The sequence below is a fragment of the Homo sapiens genome, chromosome 10 (genome assembly GCF_000001405.40).
Source record: "Homo sapiens chromosome 10, GRCh38.p14 Primary Assembly".
Lineage (NCBI taxonomy): Eukaryota > Metazoa > Chordata > Mammalia > Primates > Hominidae > Homo > Homo sapiens.
In genome coordinates, this window is record NC_000010.11 from 43,093,957 (window position 1) to 43,114,139 (window position 20,183).

Genomic DNA, 20,183 nt, shown 5'->3' on the forward strand with positions numbered 1-20,183 from the left:
GCATCCAGTTCAGCAGGGCCACGGGCTCCAGGGTGTTTGTTCAGCATAAATGTTCTGTGAAATGTATTCGTTGTACATGTCAAATATTTGACTATAGTAAGAGAAAACGTGAGTGGGAAGTGGGAGGGAAGCGGTGGGGGGGTGGGGGTGGGGTAACAGGTCACATCCTGAGAGGATAACAGTGCTCAGCATGGGGCTGGAGGGACCCCCATAGGGACAGCTGGCCTGGGGAGGCGGGGACCGCCTCTTTCCACCCCCAGCCCCCAGGGAGGAGCCCTGGGGCCTGTTTCCCATTCCCAGGAAGATGATTGCATTAGGAAATCGTCTCTTAAGGAGATTCTGCTGGGCCATAATAAAGCTGTCATCTGCATCGTCTGCCACCCATCAAGGGCAGGCGTGGGGCTGGTGTCGCATGAGGGGTTCTGCAGGAAGGGCCTGCTCTACACACATGCCCTACGCTGCTTCTAATTCATGCAGTTTTTGGATCATATCGTTGTTATTGTTTTCTTTTTTGGAAGTCCCAAATTTCGGCCCTTGTGCTGCCATCCTAGGGAAGTTTTTCATGGTCTGGAGCTCCATTTGTGTTTCTGTGGCAGGGTCACCATGCCATGGCAAGGGTGACCTCACAGTGCCCCATCAGAGCTGCCGGGTGGTCGGCAGTGGGGGAGTGAGAGACCAAGGGCCACAGCCAGGAGCCAGTGGAGAGCTGGTGAGCCCCTGCCTCCACAGACAGGGCCAGGCCACGCTTAGTATGTGTGCACCGAGGGTGCAGGAAAATGTGTGTGCTTGTGTGTGAAAGCGGGTATATACCAGTATGAGCAAATACATGTGCTTGTTAGAGCCCTATTGGCAGTGTGAGAATGTGTGAGCATATGGGAGAACAAGTGTATAACAGTGTGTGCCCCCGTGGTGTGTAATGGTATGCGTCTGAGAGAATGAGTGTGTGTGAGAGAAGGAATGCATGTGTGCAATGTGTCCGCCTGAGTCTGACCAGGAGACAGCCCCACGTGGTCCCTGAGACAGGAGCAGTAACATCAGAGGCACTAAGCTGTGATGAAAGAGGGATGAATGGGGGTGGGGAGAGCTCTGTGGGGCACCCTCAGCTGCAGGTGGGCACCAGGGAAGGAACCCCTTCCCAGCTGGGGTCAGAGCCTGAGGGAGGAGCTGGATGCTAGGCTGGGGCTGCTGTGCAGGCTCAGGTCTGGCAGGAACTATCCTTAGGGCACGGGAGCTGAGGCTGGGGGCTGCAGGAAGCTGATGGCTAGGCTCAGGTATGGGCTGCATCAGTGCCGAGGGATTGCATGCTTTGGGTATGTGCTAGGGTGGAGCACATAGCACACCCTGTCTCGTGGACTGCCCGGGCAGCAGGACCTAGAAAAGGCAGGTGTAACAACCGGAGACAGGAGCAACCCCTGGCCTGTCCCAGCATCTCTCCAAAGCCCTCCACCGATGAAGCTTGGCCTTGTGCTGCCTGCAAAGTAACCTGCTCCAGGCCCGCCTGGGCATGAGAACATGCACACCTGGACGGAGTGTGTGGATTGACAAGGTGTGTGCACGCGCACATGTGGGACGAGGGGGCTCAGGACTGGTCCCCTCTGCATCCAAAGATGAATAATTTAAACAGCCCAGCCACGTGTGGAACATTGGAAACAGTCTAGCACTTCACTCTGTCAAACACTAGGGCAGACTCTTTCCTGCTGAGCTGGGCAGGGTGGGAGCAGATGGGGTCTTAGGTGGGCATGCCTCCATCTCTTTTTCTGTCTCCTGCATGCCCTGTGCGTGCATACATATACACACACTCATGACACACACTACATAGGCCTTGAAGGTTTCTGAGGTCTCTCTGAATGTGAGCAGCAACTTGGGTCTTTGGCAAGTGTGCTGTGAGCAAGCAGGACCTTCCCCCACCCCATCCTGCATGGTGCCTGGGCACAGCCAGCCTGAGGAACCAGAACCACGGTGGCGGGGGTCATTGAGGGTTGATGTGGGAATCCTCTTAGTTTCTCAGACAAGCGACACTGCCATTTGCACCGTCGGTGGGTGTGGTGTGTGCCAGGCCACCGCTGTGCTGCAGAAGTACAGGGTGGGCCCAGCCCTGGCAACCAAAGCTGTCCAGGCAGACACCTGTGTGCTAGGTTTGAGGGAGGATTCTGTCACCACGTGGCATTTGGGCTTTGAAGGCATGGGGTGGGAAAAGCTTTGTAAGTCCTGCTGGTGACCTTCCCATGGTGCCAGGAGTGGGAGTGTCTGTCACCAGACGTGGGTCTCGACCCACGGGCCTGGCCTTGGTCCACAGGCCAGGCGGCCCTTCTAGGCAGAAAGGCGGCAGCAGGATGGGAAGCCAACCAGCAGGGCACTGGGCCTCCTGGCAGGCTCAGCACCTGCTGGCGCCTGGCTTCCACCATCACTTTCTTAGCTGTTATCCTAACCCCCGAGACACAAAGCCTCACAGCATGTCCAGCTATTTCACTTGGTCAGGCTTCTCGCCACCCAGCCTTGCTGTTCTTATATGTGAAATGGGCAGTGAAGGGATCTGCACCCAGTGGCTGAGTCTGCAGTGAGAGCCTCATGATGATACACCCCTGTGCAGAGGTGCACGCCTGGCTGCACCTGCACTGGCCGTTCCTCCTCTCCTTAGCATGCCTCCCCCACTTCGAAGCTGGGGAAACTGAGGCCCAGAGGAGGCCAGTGTTCTGCAGAGTCTGCACAGTCCGGTGGTTCCTGATGCCAGCAGCTGTTCCCCAGCTCTCCCCTGTGGCTGACCCACCACGATTGGCTGCATCATTTGTGGGCCCCTTGATCTAGAATTATGAAGAATTTCAAGACTGTAGCAAAGAGCATTAAACCAAGCGTGAGACCTCTGAGCAGGGCCCACTGGGACTGCCCAGGCTGCAGTCCGCTGAGGCAGGTCCTGCACCCACCTCCTTCATTCTCCCACCTTGGACCATGTGTTTTTCCATCTAGAAGTGTCTGTGACAAGCGGGAACCTTAAGACAGCTGTGCCCAGCTGCAGAGACCACCTGGGAGGCATTTTAAGTGCATTTAAGTCTGTTTCTGCTCGCAATCATTGCCTGACCCACAAATCCCTTTTGGCAGCAGGGAGACCAATTGGGATTGGGCCCCCCACGATCCTGTAGGGGTGGGCTCTGCCAGATGGGAGCAGGAAGGCCCGTTCTCCCCTGCACATGTGGGCTTTGTGGTGGGGGCTTTGGGAAGCCCAGGCCTGTCCTACCTCTAGTCCCTGGACCACTAAAGGTGCTTGCACATCATGGAGGCCCCAGAGGAGCACCTGTGGGATTCCCAGACTGGATCTGCTCCTGCGACAGATGGGGTGCCAGGGCCCTACCCACTCTTCTGCAGCCTGGGCATCACCAGAGCCACCCCACGGCCACCCAAGGGCAAATGGTTCTTATTGGGAAGACCAGGGCCAGAGGTGTGTGTCCCAGAGAAAACTAGACCCAGCTGAGCTGCATTGCCTCTCCCCACCTGAGCTCAGCCAACCCCTAGCATCCTCTCTGGGGTAAGAACATGGACCCCACTGCCTGCATGGATAGCCCAGACATAGGATGCCACATGGGATTGGGAGGGGGCTCATCGGGGCCAGGGCATCTGGACCCTCCTCGCCCTGTGAGGCCACTATGAGTTACAATCTCTCACCCTCTGTCGCCAGAAATGCAGCACCCCCTCCCACCCCGAGGGCACTGTCATGGGAGCAGTGTTCCTGATGTACAGTGAGCACTTCAAGAGAAGCTTTCTCCTGTTCTATTTTCCCACTGTGGGACTCCAGACGTCTCACCTGTTCTCTTCCAGGCTCCCCTTGGCACTTGATTGTTTCCCCCAGGTGTGTCCTGGAGGAGCCCAGCGGCCCTGGGGGCGTTCTCAACTGCTGCTGCAGGCCCCGCCCTCCAGACCCCTCAGCGACCTCAAGCAGCAACCGTCTGGGTGGGAGCAAACTGATCAAAAAGAGAGATCGATTACATACAAGTGCAGTATTCCTAATGTGTCCTTTGGATGTTGGTATTGTTTGGGCATTCTAGAGTCTATTTGCAGGTTCTTAATGGATTTTAAGCATTTTTTGCCTATTTATCCATCTTTTTAAAAATTCATACGATTTTTTATTGTGGAAAAATATACACAAAAATGATTTACAATGTAACTATTTTTAAGTATACATTTCAGGGACATTAAGTACATTCACATTGTTGTACAGCCATCACCACCTCCGTCCCTGAACTTTTCATCTTCCCAAACTTAAACTCTGTCCCTATCAAACACTAACTCCCCATCCTGTCTCCCCCAAGCCCTAGCAATCACCATCCTATGTTGTGTCTGTGAATTTGACTACTCTAGGGATCTCACATAAGTGGAATCGTGCAGTGTTCATCCTTTTGCAATGGGCTTATTTCACTTAGCATAATGTGCTCAAGGGTTATCAGTGTTATAGCCTGTGTCAGGATTTTCCTCCTTTTTTTTTTTTTTTTTTTGAGACAGGTCTTGTTCTGTTGTCCAGGCTGGAGTGCAATGGCACAATCTCGGCTCACTACAACCTCCGCCTCGTGGGTTCAAGCCATTCTCCTGGCTTAGCCTCTCAAGTAGCTGAGATTATAGGCGCCCGCCTTCATGCCCAGCTAATTTTTGTATTTTTAGTAGAGACGGGGTTTCACCATGTTGGCTAGGCTGATCTTAAACTCCCGACCTTAAGTGATCTGCCCACCTAGGCCTCCGAAAGTATTAGGATTACAGGCGTGAGCCACTGCGCCCGGCCAGATTTCCCTCCTTTCTAAGACTGAATATTCCATTGTATGTATAGACCATGTTTTGTTCATCCATTCATCCATTGATGGCCACTGAGGTTGCTTCCACCTTTTGTCTATCGTGAATAGTGCTGTTGTGAACATGGGTGTGTAAATATCTATTTGAGACTTGGCTTTCAATTCTTTTGCGTATGTACCCAGAAGTGGGATTGGTAGATCATATGGTAATTCAATTTTTAAGTTTTTGGGAACTACCTTCTTGTTTTTCATGATAACTGTATATTATTTTCCATTTTCACCGACAATGTACATGAGTTCCAAAAACTATTTTAAAAGCTTTCCACTGTGGGAAATGTTGGCCACACACAGTCAGCAGCATAGTGCACCGTGCCCCTGCTTGGGCTCACTCAGCCACAGCCGAGGCTAGCATCCTGCCTTCTTCAAGGAAGCTACGCCTCTGTCCACAGCGCCTTCAGTGATTCATTTTTCAGTTATTTAGGTAAAAATTACATAGATAGGCCGGGCACGGTGGCTCATACCTGTAATCCCAGCACTTTGGGAGGCAGAGGCGGGCGGATCGCCGGAGGTTGAGAGTTCGAGACCAGCCTGACCAACATGGAGAAACCCCATCTCTACTAAGAAAATACAAAATTAGCTGGGCATGGTGGTGCATGCCTGTAATCCCAGCTACTGGGGAGGCTGAGGCAGGAGAATCGCTTGAACCCGGGAGGTGGAAGTTGTGGTGAGCCAAGATTGCACCATTGCATTCCAGCCTAGGCAACAAGAGCAAAACTCCATCTCAAAAATAAATAAATAAATAAATAAATAAATAAATAAATAAATAAATAAAAATTACATAGATAAGATGCACGGACCTTAGCTGCACAATACTGACAAACGAATATGCCCACGTGATCTGCACCCTTCTCAGGATATGGGACCTTCACATTCCCCAGAAAGTGCCCTGTGGCCCTTCCCAATCTGTCCACCTCCCCCACACCCCCGCCTGCCACAGGCAGCCAGTCTGATCCATTGCCTAACATCCGTCCAGAATCATGCCATGTGCGCTCTTCTCTGCCTGGCTTCCTCACCTTGGCATGGTTTGTGTGTGTGACCCATCCAGGTGTTTGCGTGTATCCATAGTTCATCCTTTTCCATTGCTGGGCAGGATTCTGTGGCATGGCTGGACCACGGTGTGCCTGTCCATCCACCTGCTGAAGGGCCTCTAGGCTCTTGACTTCTGTGAATCATCCTTCCATTTCCAACTATGGCATTTGATAGACGTATGTTTTCACTTTTCTTGGATGAATGGAGTGGAATTGCAGGGTCATATGGTAGGCGTATGTTTAGATAAAGATTTATGACTTTCCTGTAAAGTGCTTTCTTCATTTTTTGGCAACTGTTGCCTGCCCCACATGGGTGGCAGTGTCTCCTGCCCTTGAACACTCTGGCTCTGGGTGACCTGTTGAGAAGTCTGTATGGTTCAGGTGCCCTTCCGGCTTGGATGATTGAGAATAGGCTTGTCACTGAGGATACTGCTTCCCCTGTTTCCTTTTCTTTTTCTGTTTTAAAGCAGTTCTTTTCTAGCCCGTGTGTAACTATACAAATAATTGAGTGTTCATGTTCTCAGGAACAGAGATGAAAAACTCCTGCTAAGATCGGAATTTTAAATTAATGATTTTTTTTTTTTTTGTCCTTGAAGAAGCCTTATTCTCACCATCCCTCACTCACTTCCCTACTTCCCACAGTGGCATTGGGCCTCTACTTCTCGAGGGATGCTTACTGGGAGAAGCTGTATGTGGACCAGGCAGCCGGCACGCCCTTGCTGTACGTCCATGCCCTGCGGGACGCCCCTGAGGAGGTGCCCAGCTTCCGCCTGGGCCAGCATCTCTACGGCACGTACCGCACACGGCTGCATGAGAACAACTGGATCTGCATCCAGGAGGACACCGGCCTCCTCTACCTTAACCGGAGCCTGGACCATAGCTCCTGGGAGAAGCTCAGTGTCCGCAGTAAGGGAGCCGCCCCAACACCCACCCCGTGCCCCACCCCACCCCTTCCTCAAGCCGCCCTTATCACAGCCGCTGACACTGAAGCTTGGCATGGCTTCCCCCCCACCGCTGGTGTGGAAGGCGTCAGGGGTTAAGTGAGGCTGGCCTGCCTCTGTGTCCAGCCTGGAGAGAAGCCAGGACAAGCTTCAGGGCTGCGTGAGGCTGTAGGAGTTTGGAGACACACGGGAATCATCCGGGTACACTCTTCTGCCAGACCCGAATCCCTCTTCCAGTGGGGCTAAAAAGGATTAGGAGGTTTCGAGAGAGGGAGTAAGTGGGGCTGGAAAAATCCCAAGGTTTTGATTTAGCAAATGACCTGCAACTCTCTGGAGAAGCGGCAGTTCCCAAGGAAAGCCTGACTTCTTATCAGCAGCTGGCTGCCCTTGTACCTGGCAGGGACTTGGGCCTGTCCCAGGTGTCCAGGGAGGAAAGAGGAGCAGTCAGAGCCAGAGTCACGGCCACATGTGACATTGGTAATGGGAGGGGTGGGGGGGAAGCAGAGCCCCTGTGACAGGAAACGGTGATGCTGCACCTGGTAGCTCCCATCCCTAGCACCCCTCCAGGGCCACAGCTTGCACAGCCCTCACAACCACCCTGAGCCCTGTCTGCTGGTGAGAGGCAAGCCTCAGGCTATGAATGCAGAGCAGGCATCCCTGCCCTACCCAGGCCTATCTGCCAGGGACAGCCAGGGTGCAGGGGAGGGAGGAGACTTGGGTGGGCAACTCCCTCCGGCGCAGCCCAGGCAGTTCCTGGAGGAGGCAGCATCTGAGGTTGGTCGTGGTTCTACGCACTTAGTTGCTGCCCTCTTCATCCTGAGCCTCCAGGGTGGAGCTTGAGGAATGGGAGTCCCTGGGTGGGGGCCAGTGTGGAATTTGCCCTGGGCCTGCATTTCGTAGGAGGCCTAAGCCCTCCAAGGTGGGGAGAGGCTTCATGCACAGCCAGTTCCTGTGGAGGAAGAAACCACAGGGTAATTTAACAGGGAGAGTTTGTGTAAAGAATTAATTACAACAGGGGATTGGAGCAATGAGGGACAGGCTAGCAAAAAGCAAAGAGAATGCCAGAGAATATGGGAAGAGCAGCTCTGAGGAGCAGCCGCCCACCTAGGGCTGAGATGGAGGCTGGGAAAGCCCTCGCAGCCCAGCTGAAATGGCTATGGCGCTTCGGTGATGGAACTTGCCGGAAATGCCCCCTCTAGGCATTGGGGAAGTATGTCTGCGGCCACTCCAAACCTCCTGAGGAGGGTGTGGCAGGGGGGGTGCTGGTCACCCCTTACTGGAGAAGTTGCCACCATCAGAGTTGGGGAGCCTTAGACCCAGTGCTCAACACACCTCCCTGAGGAAGGGGCCTCTAAGCCAAGAACTGAATGATGAGAGCTAGGCCTGTGGGGCATTGGTGCTGGGCAGCAGGGCTGTGCAGCAGAGGTAAGGAGGTGGCAGGCAGAGCTGGAACACCAGTCTGAGCCTTGTGGACCTTGGTGGGGACCAGGGTTTACACCAGCCCTGGAGCTCCTGCCTCCTCCCCATTCCCGACTGCCTGGCAGATGTGGCCGATGCCCCCACAGACCTGACTTCTCTCTGCAGACCGCGGCTTTCCCCTGCTCACCGTCTACCTCAAGGTCTTCCTGTCACCCACATCCCTTCGTGAGGGCGAGTGCCAGTGGCCAGGCTGTGCCCGCGTATACTTCTCCTTCTTCAACACCTCCTTTCCAGCCTGCAGCTCCCTCAAGCCCCGGGAGCTCTGCTTCCCAGAGACAAGGCCCTCCTTCCGCATTCGGGAGAACCGACCCCCAGGCACCTTCCACCAGTTCCGCCTGCTGCCTGTGCAGTTCTTGTGCCCCAACATCAGCGTGGCCTACAGGCTCCTGGAGGGTGAGTGCCGACCTTGTGGGGCCGCCCCACAGTGCCTGCTACTGCTGGTCTTGCTCTGCGAGCCCTTGACACAAGCCATCTGGTTTATTCTTCACCTTCATGCCATCAGTTCATTCAATATTCCAGAAGTACCTCTTGCATGCCTGCCAGGGGCCAGGTACTGTTCTAGGAGCTAAGGATATAACAATGAACACAACGGGTTGGAATCTTGCCTGCCTGCAGCTTTCATTCTTGTGGGGCAGACAGAGCGTCTGAGCATGCCAAGGAAATCAGGTGGCTTCTGGAAGGAGCTAGCTGGGGAGGAAACTGGGAAGAGGGAAACGCTGAAGAGGAGGGGAACAGACGAGGAGACCTCCATTCCTCTATCGTAAATTGGGTGGTCAGGGTGGGGGCTAGCAGAGCAAAGGTGGGAGGGTGCCGGGTAGGCAGGCCTAGCCCCTTGGAGGGCACCACAGTGTGACCCTCGTGTGCCTGGAGTGCACTGAGCGACAGGGAAGAGCTGAGGCTGATGGGGCAGAATAGTTCCTGGGGCAGGGGGCAGGTCTGGGAGTGGCTTGCAGGGCTTTCTCCGGAGGAACATGGGGAGCTATGGAAGACTTTGGAGGGAGGGAGTGCTGGCAGGACCTGACTTAGTTTTAAAAGGATTAGTCAGACTACTGTGTTAGGAATGGTTTGGGGTGGGAAGGTTCAGGGGCGAAGCTGGGAGACAATCAGAAGGCTACAGGAGAAACCTCTGAACAGGAGGATGTGGGGTGTGATGCCGGGATACGGGTGGAAGCCGAGGCATGGCGAGAAGCAGGCAGCTGCAGCCAGTCAGAGGGTGGGATGAGCTGGATCCCAGTGGAGAGGGGAGAAGGCAGCTGACTAGGTGCAGGGAGGCCCCATTTGACCATCAGAAAGTCAGGAAGTGGGGCTCAACCAGGTCACAGAGGCTGCACCGCTGGCAAGTGTGTCCTAAATTCACACTAACTTTATCACACAAACATGGCAAGAATATTAAAATCTCAGTAAAGGAAGACAAGCCATCACTTATGCTTCCCCAGATTCCTTTCATTCTCTGGGGCAGGGTTGATGGAGCACTTGGTTTTTTGCATGCTGCCCTTTTTCACTAAAAATTATGTGATTAAATTTAGTTTAGTGGGGGGTTTTTTGTAATCACACTCAACAGAGGAAAGCATTATATGATAAGCATTTCCCACATACGTAATTCATGCGCAAGGCATGGTTCTGCCTGGGAGGCTTGTGGAGTTGCCCCCGCCTCCTTGGGGTGGGTTGTGGGGTCTTCAGCGGTGACCTTCCGCCTTCAGCATGCCCCCTTTTCTGGATTATTTCTGGAGGACAAATCCGAGGTCAGGCTCGTTGAAGACTGTGTTGTGGTTCCTGGCCCTGCTTCAGGGGCGATGTAGTCTAGCGCGAGCTGCCATGCAGGGCACGGAGCATTCGCTTTTGTCTCGACATCCGGCCTTCAGAGGATGACCAGCCTGGCGACGCACTGGACAAGGAGGTGTAGAGTGGGGATGCACACTAGGCGGTCGGAAATCATTATGCGTTAATGTCACATCATACCCCAGATGTCCACTGTGTTTGTTTTCAAGTGGTAGAATCGTGGCTTTCTCACGTTCTCTAAAATGAACACATATTGCTTCCATAATTGAAAAAAAAAAAAACCTAACAGTTTTTAAAAAGCAGCCAAGGTCACCAATATGGTGAAAGGCCGTCCCTACTAAAAATACAAAAATTAGCCGGGCATGGTGGCGGGCGCCTGTAGTCCCAGCTACTCGGGAGGCTGAGGCAGGAGAATCGCCTGAACCCGGGAGTTGGAGGTTGCAGTGAGCCAAGATCGCGCCACTGCACTCCAGCCTGGGCAACACAGCGAGACTCCATCAAAAACAAAAAAAAAGCAGCCAAGGCCAGTAGCTGGCTCTCTAGGGCTGCAGTGCAGCTTGGGCTGAGGCAAAGCCACCCTTCCCCACACAAGGCCACTCCTGATCAAGGCCAGGTGGGCGGAGGGGTGTCCCAGTCCCTACTGGTTGATCAGGGTGCCTGGTCCTGGCTCTTCCCAACCAGCACGAGTGAGGACGCAGCTGCAGCAGGACGTAAGCACAGTCATCGCTGCAAACTGCAAACTCGTAAGCACAGTCATCGCTGCAAACTGCAAACTCGTGCTCCGAGCGCTGCCCTCCCCTGTGGAGCGGAGGAGGGGAGGCCTGGGGCCGCGGCGGTGTGCGCCCCGCTCTGACCGCAGAGCCCCCTTCCCGAGGAAAGCGGCTGGCCCGGTCCCGGCTGGTGATCACGCGGGGCCCCTGTCTGCTTGGTGCGCAGGTGAGGGTCTGCCCTTCCGCTGCGCCCCGGACAGCCTGGAGGTGAGCACGCGCTGGGCCCTGGACCGCGAGCAGCGGGAGAAGTACGAGCTGGTGGCCGTGTGCACCGTGCACGCCGGCGCGCGCGAGGAGGTGGTGATGGTGCCCTTCCCGGTGACCGTGTACGACGAGGACGACTCGGCGCCCACCTTCCCCGCGGGCGTCGACACCGCCAGCGCCGTGGTGGAGTTCAAGCGGAAGGAGGTGCTTGTCCGCGCGTGCTGTGGTCTACCCAGTGTCTGTCTCCGGCCACAGTTCGTTTCTCGGTCGGTTTAGTGTCCGTGTAGCCACCCAACCGTGTGGCCGACCATTCGCGCTTTCATTTGTCCTTCGCCTCCGTCTGCGCCGTCTGTCCTAGGGGGAGGGGAAGGGGGAGTCCTGCCAGCACCCAGCTGGGCCTTGCCTCGGGAGGCAAGGACCAGGACGAGGCCCGAGGGCTCGCGTCTGGGGCATACTTGTGCCGCTGCAGGCGGGCGCGGCGCGCTGCCCGGGCGGGGAGCATCTGCCGGGAGGGCACTCCCTCCCACCAGCAGTTAGCCCCCAACGGGAGGGCCCTTGAGTGACCACGAGCAGAGCCGGGGATTGGAGAAGGACGGGAAGGCGGATCACCTCCGGCGCCGCCCGCCCCGCCCTTCTCCGGCTCGCGCTGGTGGAGCGCGACCGCCACCTGCTGGGCCTCGGCCTTCCTGCAGCCGGCCCACCCAGCAGGGGCCGTGGGAGAGTGGGCGTGGGGACTGAGGTAGGTAGTACGTTGCCTTGTTCCGCTTCTCTGGGCACACCACGTGCAGGTTTGGCAGGGAAAGGGGGTCTGGTCGAAAGCACAATTTGTGAGTAAAGGCTATGTGGGCCTCCCTGGGGTGACAGCAGAGGCCTGGTGGGCAGAGCCATCCAGGTGCCCAGCGGCTTTCCTCACAACCCCCTCCAGCCTGGGGTAGGAGGATGCTTGGAACAGAGCGCTCTGATGTACACCTGGCCTCGGAGCTCGGCTCTGCCGGCTGTTCCTGTGTGACCTTGACCTGACCTTCACCCTGTGGGGCCCAGCTTCCTCAGGGGAGAGTGGAGGTGCTCATCCTGCTCTCTGGGGACCTGGATGGGACCTGCCAGCAGGGTGCCTGGGCATCGGCTGTAATTCTCCTTATAAGAGGTCTGCATTGTACCTGTTACACAGGCGAGGCTCAGTGGCTCAGGGAAGGTGACGGCCAGGCTGGCCAGTGACCCCGTGGGAACTTGAACCCAGGTCAGACTGTCCCCAGACCTGGCTCTGACAACACACATCTGGTCCACCTATGGGCTGTGTGGGACGTGCAGCATTCTAAGGTCTCTGGTTTTGGGGGGTCTGAGGGGCCCATCTCGCCTGCACTGACCAACGCCCTCTGCATCCTGCAGGACACCGTGGTGGCCACGCTGCGTGTCTTCGATGCAGACGTGGTACCTGCATCAGGGGAGCTGGTGAGGCGGTACACAAGCACGCTGCTCCCCGGGGACACCTGGGCCCAGCAGACCTTCCGGGTGGAACACTGGCCCAACGAGACCTCGGTCCAGGCCAACGGCAGCTTCGTGCGGGCGACCGTACATGACTATAGTAAGAGGGGCTGGTGGCACGGCCTGGCTAGGCCCCCAGGAAATGAGGTGCTCGCTCTTCATGGGCAAGCAGCACCCTACACACATGCACACCTGGCATGGCCCTCTGTGGCCCAAGCCACTTCCCCTCCACCCTCTGCCCAGCACTTCCTGTGTCTCTGCCAGGCCTGCCCTCCAGCCACCAGCAGGGCTTTCACCATGGGACCTCTCTCCCTGAGCTGATCCATGGCCGACCCTGGCAGGGCCCCACCACACCCCCCTGCTGACCTCACCAGGGCTCACCACCGACTGCAAACACACATGTCACCTGAGGCTTTCCTCCAGCCCCTGGCACTCCATCGTTGCCCCTAAGGCGTCCCAAGTGCTTACGGATTATTGCTCCAGCCTCAGCAGCTCTCTGCTAAACAGGCTGGTGTACAGAAGCAGCCCCGAGCCAGGTCAGGGCTTCTGAGCCCATTATCCTGCCTGACTGCTGACATGCCACCATGCTCACCTGCTTGCAGGGCACCTTTCAGCAGCGGCCTTGCTTCCTGCCTCCCTCCGCCACCTCCTGCAGATTTCTCCTGGGATCGCCTTCCAAATAAACCACCTGCATTTGGGGTCTGTGTCTGGTGGAACCCCAGGCCATGAGTCCTTCACCCCTTTCTGCCTGGCCTGGTCCTGTTCATTCCTCAGTCCTCCCCACCTCACCAAGCCTATGGAGGCCCCACTTGTCAGAGGGGAGACAGCCTCCTTGCCCTGGCACTGAACACCCTGTGTGCCAGAGTGCCCCTCCCATCATTGTTTCCACCACATGAGATCCACAGTGGCAGCACGCGGCAGGTACACCGATGGCATGACTTCCAGGGCTTGGCCTGCGGGGTCATTGGGTCTGCTGGAGGTTCCTGCAGTGGAGGGTAGTTCTGCCATGCTCTGGGGGAGCTGTCTGGAGGGCTCTAGTGTGTCCTTCCCAGGGCCTTGGTAATGTAGACCTTTAACCCCCCATGCCTCACACACACACACACACACACACACACACACACACACACACACCCTGTTACCCAAAAAACGAAACTCTGTAAAACATTTTAAAGAGGTTTATTCTGAGCCAGGATGAGTGACCACAGCCTGGAGAAAACACAAACCCAAGAAGCCTTGAGTAAGTGGTCCCCAGGTCCAAGGTGGTGGAGTTACAGTTTGCTTTTATACATTTTAGGGAGACAGGAGTTACAAGCAAGGACATAAATCAACACACAGAAGGTATACATTGGTTTGGCCCCAAAATGCAGGGTATCTTAAAACAGGGGCTTACAGGTTAGAGGTAGATGCAGAGATTCTTTAATTTACAGTTGGTTGAAAGAGTTAAGCTTTGCCTAAAGACTTCAGGTCAGTACAAAGGAATGTTAAGGAGGCCTGCTATGTGTCGCCTGATGCTATACAGGGTCAGGAGGGAAAGTAAACCACGTTATACCTGGGTAACTTAAAAAAAAAAGGTTTTTAACAAGATTTTATGGACCAGGCATAGTGGCTCACGCCTGTAATCCCAGCACTTTAGGGAGACCGAGGCGGGTGGATTGTTTGAGTCCAGGAGTTCGAGACCAGCCTAGGCAACATGGTGAAACCCTGTCTCTACAAAAAAAAAAAAAATACAAAAAATTAGCCAGGCGTGGTGGCACATGCCTGGATTCCAGGAACCTGGGAGGCTGAGGTGGGAGGATGGCTGGAGCCTGGGAGGTCAAGGCTGCAATGAGATGCAACAGAGCAAGACTCTGTCTCAAAAAAGAAAACCAATGTTATGGTTTGTAGGGTGTTTCTTAACCCTTGCCTGGCATGGCCTTAGGTCCTGTTTATAATTTGGTATCTTACTGCCACAAAGAGTCCGATCTGTCAGTCTTATGATCTCTGTTTTAATGTTAATGCCGGTCAGTTGTGTCCAAACTCCAGCAGGAAGAGGGCCTAATAAGGCAAGTCCACCCTGCCTTCCTGTCATGGCCCAGAATTCTGTTTTTAAGGTTTTTCTGGTGTCCCTTGGCCAAGAGGGGATCTATTCAGTTGGTCCGGGGACTCAAGATTTTAGTTTCAGTTTACAACTCTATACACAAACACCCCATACACACAGGCACCAATACCCTATGCACAGACACCACACAAATGCATACTACACACTTACACATACCACACACACGCATACCATGCAAGCATATCATACACACAGACACCCCATACAATGCGTACACATGCACACACACACAGGCTGCCTCAAATTGAGAAGGGTTCCTTGGACTTTCAGTTCAGTAAATCCCAACGTTTGAACATTGGTGCTAACTTAGGACCAGCCCCAGGCCTGTTGCATGGCACTGTATGTGTGAAAGTGCGTGTTTGCACCAGTGTGAGTGCAGGGCTGTGTCTGGGAAGAGGTGTGCTACACATGAGGAAGCAGCCAGAGCAGCTTGGTGGTCATTGTTGTGCCCCTACCTGCAGGGCTGGTTCTCAACCGGAACCTCTCCATCTCGGAGAACCGCACCATGCAGCTGGCGGTGCTGGTCAATGACTCAGACTTCCAGGGCCCAGGAGCGGGCGTCCTCTTGCTCCACTTCAACGTGTCGGTGCTGCCGGTCAGCCTGCACCTGCCCAGTACCTACTCCCTCTCCGTGAGCAGGAGGGCTCGCCGATTTGCCCAGGTGAGCCCATACCTATTGCCTGTCTGGGGAAGATTGAAAGGCCAAGGGACATGGGGGCACAGGGAGGCAGGTGACACTGCCTCTTGGCCCAACCAGCACAGAGTAGACTGGGTGGAGTCCTGAGCCCAGGGCCAGGAGGTACAGCTGTGTGCACAGAAGAGGCCTGGGAGAGCTCACAGTGGGCAGGGCTGGGGGCTCCTTGGGCCTCTCTTTTTTTCCCCTTTCCATTCTTGGTATCTTTAAAATGTATTTTCAAAAATGCAAGAGCAATACTGGGTAAATCTGCATATGGTGACTCGGAAGAATCTTCCTGGTGGATTGGTGAGAGTGGCTTGCAGAGATGTTGGTCCCACGTGACTCCCTTTGTGCAAAAGCAGATCTTCCCTGACAGGGATCTGCAAGTGTGCAGAGATCACAGTGCTGTCCACAGTGGTGCCCTCAGGGGGAGGCAGGAAACGCTTCCACTTTTTACTTTTTGTAACTAGGTTTGCTAGAAAGCGTATATTTATATTTGTCTTTGGAAAATAATGATTAGAAATAGAAGGCATAAAAGTAATAAATATTCATTAAAGAAGATGAGGCATGAGGCATGAGGCGTGATCCCTTCTACCCATAGGCGCCAGTGTTGCACATCGTGGTGTTCTTTCTGGGATGTTTCTCGTAAGCACTTATTAAGTTGACTTGAAACTGCAGCACGCATGTTCTCGCATGCCGCTCTCCCTTGCAGAGCAGCCCGTGGCGCCTCCTCTTCAGGGGCCATCTGCCAGTTCTTTCGGGTGGTTCTGTGCCCGCATCAGCTCCTGGCAGCCACCCGTGTCCAGCCCACGAGGGAGCCCACCCTTGGACATATCTAAGCTCCCCGACCACCTCCTTGGCCTTTAATGGGAGTGGGATCAGAGACAGAGGGGCGACAAGACAGAGGGCCCCGGGGGGTCTCATGGGGGGCGGGGCAAGAGCAGGCATTGCTGAAGTTGGGTCACCTGCCCTCTGTCAGGAGCAACGGGGGCCTGAATCCCAGTCCAGCCTCAGCCTCACTGTGGTCTCACCTTTCTCCCCAGTTTGTAAAGCTGTGAATTAGGGACAGGAACCCTGAACAATTTTGAGAGTCACATGAGCATTTGGAAGTGGGCTTTGTAGGGGAAAGTGAGGAGGCCCAGGAGGCTGGTTTTTGCTGTGGTCACTTGTGGGCCTGGGAGAGCCCAGCCCTGCTCTGGCCCGCCCCCATCTCGCCATCTGTGGAACTTTTGGTTTCAAGCAGCTGCAAGAGTTGCCAAGAGGTTGAAAGAATTCAGCTGCCTGACTCCAGGTCCTGGCATCCCCAGGAGAGGCCCCTCTTTCCCAGGGGCTCTGGTCAAAGTCCCAGAGCCTGGCATCCCCAGGAGAAGAGGCTCCTCTTTCCCAGAGGCTCTGCTCAAAGTCCCAGGGAGGCCCCCTGGTCCTGCATGGGCTGGGGCAACCATGCTCCCGAGTCTTGTGGCTGGGGTTCAGTGCTCTGACCAGGGGACACCAGGGCAGGGTGGACCTCTAAACCCTGTGCACTGAGGGAGGAGTGAGGGGTCCCCAGAGCACTGCTGGGGCAGCTGGGAGCAGCCAGGGAGGAGCCTGGGAGACATTCCGGCGGCTTTGTTGTCTGAGTGAGGGAGGAAAGGGGAGTAAAGGGTTGAGTCAGGGCCTGCCTGGGGCTTTTCCTGCCACCAAACTGAACCTCGAGGCCCTGGGTTGCCTTGACCTCCAGCTCCCAGGAACAGGGGCAGCTGGTAACATGTGGCCTGAGTGGAACGGGGCAGGGCAGGGCTGGGGCAGGTGGGTGGGTATGAAGGCTCTGAGGGGTGGAGGACAGGGTGCTCGGGGGGGCTGCTGTCTCCAGGCCCAGTTGGGGGCTGTTCCAGGACTTAGGCTGTGTGGGAATCTCTACCCTCAGGCCATTACAGGCCGGTCCAGCTGCCTGGCTAAGGTGTTCCCCTGTGCCCCCCTAGATCGGGAAAGTCTGTGTGGAAAACTGCCAGGCATTCAGTGGCATCAACGTCCAGTACAAGCTGCATTCCTCTGGTGCCAACTGCAGCACGCTAGGGGTGGTCACCTCAGCCGAGGACACCTCGGGGATCCTGTTTGTGAATGACACCAAGGCCCTGCGGCGGCCCAAGTGTGCCGAACTTCACTACATGGTGGTGGCCACCGACCAGCAGACCTCTAGGCAGGCCCAGGCCCAGCTGCTTGTAACAGTGGAGGGGTCATGTGAGTGCCTGCTCCAGGGAGGGAGGGTCGGGGTCCTGGGGGCTTCTGGAGCCTGGGCCTCCTGCCCTTTGAGAAAAGCAGTACAGCTGCAAGGCTTAGCTGGGGAGTGGGGAAGGCATGGACCAGCTTCACCCTGAGTGACCCAGCAGTAAATGGTTGCTCCTTCCAGATAACATACAGGACCTTGGGTAAATTTGAATTTTGGGTAAACAACAAGCAGTTTTTTGGTATAGGTGTGTTCCATGCAACTTTTGCAGCTTCTCGAAAGACACACCTCTAGGTCCATCCATGCCCTCTTAGGAACATGCTGACACAGCTGCCATTCATGCCATTCATTGTGTATCTGAAATGTAGGTCCCACAGGGCGTCGTTGGCTGAATCTGGCTGCACTCACATCCTTCCTCCTGTACTTACCCCAGCCCAGGTGACCCCTGCTTTGTGACCATGATGTCCTGTACCCTGCCCTGCGCCCTGTGCTCCTGGCACTGTCTTTGCTGCCCTGGGTCTGTCACTCCGGTCCCCTTGGGCTCCATCCGTGGGCAGCTCAGCTGGTGCTGTTCCCTGTCCTTGGGCACTAGCTGGACGCTGGGCCCAGGCCAGCCCCCTGTGACCCTGCTTGTCTGCCACCTGCAGATGTGGCCGAGGAGGCGGGCTGCCCCCTGTCCTGTGCAGTCAGCAAGAGACGGCTGGAGTGTGAGGAGTGTGGCGGCCTGGGCTCCCCAACAGGCAGGTGTGAGTGGAGGCAAGGAGATGGCAAAGGTAAGCCCTGGAAACGCCCAAGGGAGGCCTGCAGGGGCGATGGCACCGGTGGAAACGGGGTCCTGGGGCCCTGCCAGCCTGGGGTGGCTCTCCCTGCTCCAGGTCTGCTTCTGGCACCTCATCCCCCATGTGGCTCTCGATGCCAGCATAGCGGGCAGCAGTGCAGGGCTTGGGAGAGGGCTTGTGAGTACAGTGAATGGTCCCCAGGCCGGATTCACTCTGGACTTGGGAAGGTCTGAACCAAAGTTGGGATGTGCTGGGGACAGAATGGCGTTTTTCTGGGAGGTCCTCGGCCAGGGGATGTGGTGTGGGCAGGGGACTCATTGTCTGCATCAGCCAGAGGCCAGCCTGGGTGTGCCCACCACCATGAGGGGCCCTCACCATGCAGCCCTGAGAGGGTCCCGGCCTCTTTGCTGTAAGGGCCACCTGTGTGAGGAACCCCCCATACCTCCTCTCCCATAAGCCATGGCTCCCCAGGATGCTTCCGCTGGCAAGGCTCTGTATATGGTGTTTCCCTACTCAGGCCTCCAGTTGCTCCTCCCTAGAGGGGCAGGATCTGCCTAGGAGGTGGTGGGGGCGTGTGGCGGGGCTCCCACATGGGTGACAGCCTGCTGTGTGTCCTGTGCAGGGATCACCAGGAACTTCTCCACCTGCTCTCCCAGCACCAAGACCTGCCCCGACGGCCACTGCGATGTTGTGGAGACCCAAGACATCAACATTTGCCCTCAGGACTGCCTCCGTAAGCAGGGTTTAATCAGGGCATGGGAACAGGTAGGAGATAGTAGGGGAAACCTGGATCCCACAGGCACTTCAGCCAGAGTTGCCAGGGCTGTCAGTTCTATGCATCAAGCTGAGCCTCCTGTGCATTTCAGCATCACCCTAGCCATGGGGAGGGAGCAGGCAGGGTCAGGGACAGGGGGAAGGCAGGGACCCACAGACTGTCCAGGCCCCTGCTGAGGTCCCAGAAGTCGGCACACACAGATTTCAGAAGCAGAGAATGGTCAGTAGGGACACTGACAGGGAAAGTGCGGCCCTGAGCCAGACGAGGGACACTGCAATGTGCGGGTCAGGCCACCAGGCTCCAGTTTTGGAGGCAGAGTCCTTTGTTCAGATGAAATGTTAGGAGGGGGCCTGGCTTCACCCATGGCTTCAGAAAGGCACTGTGACCAAGCCCTGCCCGGCTAAGCCAAGCTGCTGGGCCCCTGGCCTCACTGGGCCTATGCTTGCGACACCAGTTGGGGAGGGGGCTCCTTGGGACACTGCCCTGGAAATATGGGCGCCTGGGGTGGTCAGGCGCCCCAGGAGGCTGAGTGGGCTACGTCTGCCCTCAGGGGGCAGCATTGTTGGGGGACACGAGCCTGGGGAGCCCCGGGGGATTAAAGCTGGCTATGGCACCTGCAACTGCTTCCCTGAGGAGGAGAAGTGCTTCTGCGAGCCCGAAGACATCCAGGGTGAGTGGGTGGCGGCCGGGACCACCACCACCTCCCAGCCCCACAGAGGTCTCAACAGCACATCTGAGGTCCCAACAAGGGAGGAAATTGCTGGGAGGCGAGTGGGCCCCATGAAACTTCCCTCCCTCCCTCTGGGCCTCTGTTACTCCACCCAGGAGAGGGGCCAGGGCCCCTGTAAAGTGTCTTCTGGCCATAAGTTCTATGATGGACAGGCCAGAAAAGCAGTTCTTCCACCAAACAACTTGTCAGCCTGACAAGTCACTGTCCCTGTGACCATGCAGCTGGGACCCACCCAGGAACACATTTCAAGGTCAGCAGGTATGGTGGGTTGCACAGCCACACTGACTACACTCAGGGGTGCTGTTCTGCCTGAGCATAGGGACACGTTTCTGTCATTGAGTTTTCTGGTATTATATAGCCCTACGTCCCTAGCCACTTAGCATTTTCATAAAGAAAATGCCAAA

General features: G+C 56.0%; 1 protein-coding gene across 41 annotated transcripts in view, besides 5 other annotated features; it reads left to right on the forward strand.

Annotated features, from left to right (window-relative positions):
• Positions 1-20,183, forward strand: part of RET (ret proto-oncogene) — a 53,283-nt gene that overhangs the window by 16,888 nt on the left and 16,212 nt on the right. For 8 of the 41 annotated variants that reach the window (NM_020630.7, NM_020975.6, NM_001406743.1 and 5 more), the window contains exons 2-10: positions 6,503-6,766; positions 8,386-8,673; positions 10,996-11,237; positions 12,420-12,615; positions 15,075-15,274; positions 17,251-17,509; positions 18,143-18,268; positions 18,897-19,007; positions 19,600-19,719. In NM_020630.7, coding sequence (NP_065681.1) covers positions 6,503-6,766; positions 8,386-8,673; positions 10,996-11,237; positions 12,420-12,615; positions 15,075-15,274; positions 17,251-17,509; positions 18,143-18,268; positions 18,897-19,007; positions 19,600-19,719 — 1,806 coding nt within the window. Of the gene's footprint in view, positions 1-6,502; positions 6,767-8,385; positions 8,674-10,808; positions 11,238-12,419; positions 12,616-15,074; positions 15,275-17,250; positions 17,510-18,142; positions 18,269-18,896; positions 19,008-19,599; positions 19,720-20,183 lie in introns of those variants that run through there. The other 33 variants (NM_001406782.1, NM_001406780.1, NM_001406779.1 and 30 more) reach the window with 14 other exon arrangements.
• Positions 7,469-7,968: an enhancer, noted in NCBI's record as "H3K4me1 hESC enhancer chr10:43596873-43597372 (GRCh37/hg19 assembly coordinates)". NCBI's record gives its function as "activates a minimal SCP1, AML or CMV promoter by ChIP-STARR-seq in naive H9 embryonic stem cells {active_cell/tissue: H9 hESC(naive)}" and the evidence as "EXISTENCE:reporter gene assay evidence [ECO:0000049][PMID:30033119]".
• Positions 10,815-11,566: an enhancer, noted in NCBI's record as "H3K4me1 hESC enhancer chr10:43600219-43600970 (GRCh37/hg19 assembly coordinates)". NCBI's record gives its function as "activates a minimal SCP1, AML or CMV promoter by ChIP-STARR-seq in naive H9 embryonic stem cells {active_cell/tissue: H9 hESC(naive)}" and the evidence as "EXISTENCE:reporter gene assay evidence [ECO:0000049][PMID:30033119]".
• Positions 11,566-11,795: a silencer, noted in NCBI's record as "silent region_2313". NCBI's record gives its function as "represses an Ori minimal core promoter by ATAC-STARR-seq in GM12878 lymphoblastoid cells {active_cell/tissue: GM12878}" and the evidence as "EXISTENCE:reporter gene assay evidence [ECO:0000049][PMID:35858748]".
• Positions 12,056-12,155: an enhancer, noted in NCBI's record as "active region_3282". NCBI's record gives its function as "activates an Ori minimal core promoter by ATAC-STARR-seq in GM12878 lymphoblastoid cells {active_cell/tissue: GM12878}" and the evidence as "EXISTENCE:reporter gene assay evidence [ECO:0000049][PMID:35858748]".
• Positions 15,106-15,269: a silencer, noted in NCBI's record as "fragment chr10:43604510-43604673 (GRCh37/hg19 assembly coordinates)". NCBI's record gives its function as "represses an EF-1alpha promoter that drives an FKBP-Casp9 reporter gene in an ReSE screen in HepG2 liver carcinoma cells {active_cell/tissue: HepG2}" and the evidence as "EXISTENCE:reporter gene assay evidence [ECO:0000049][PMID:32094911]".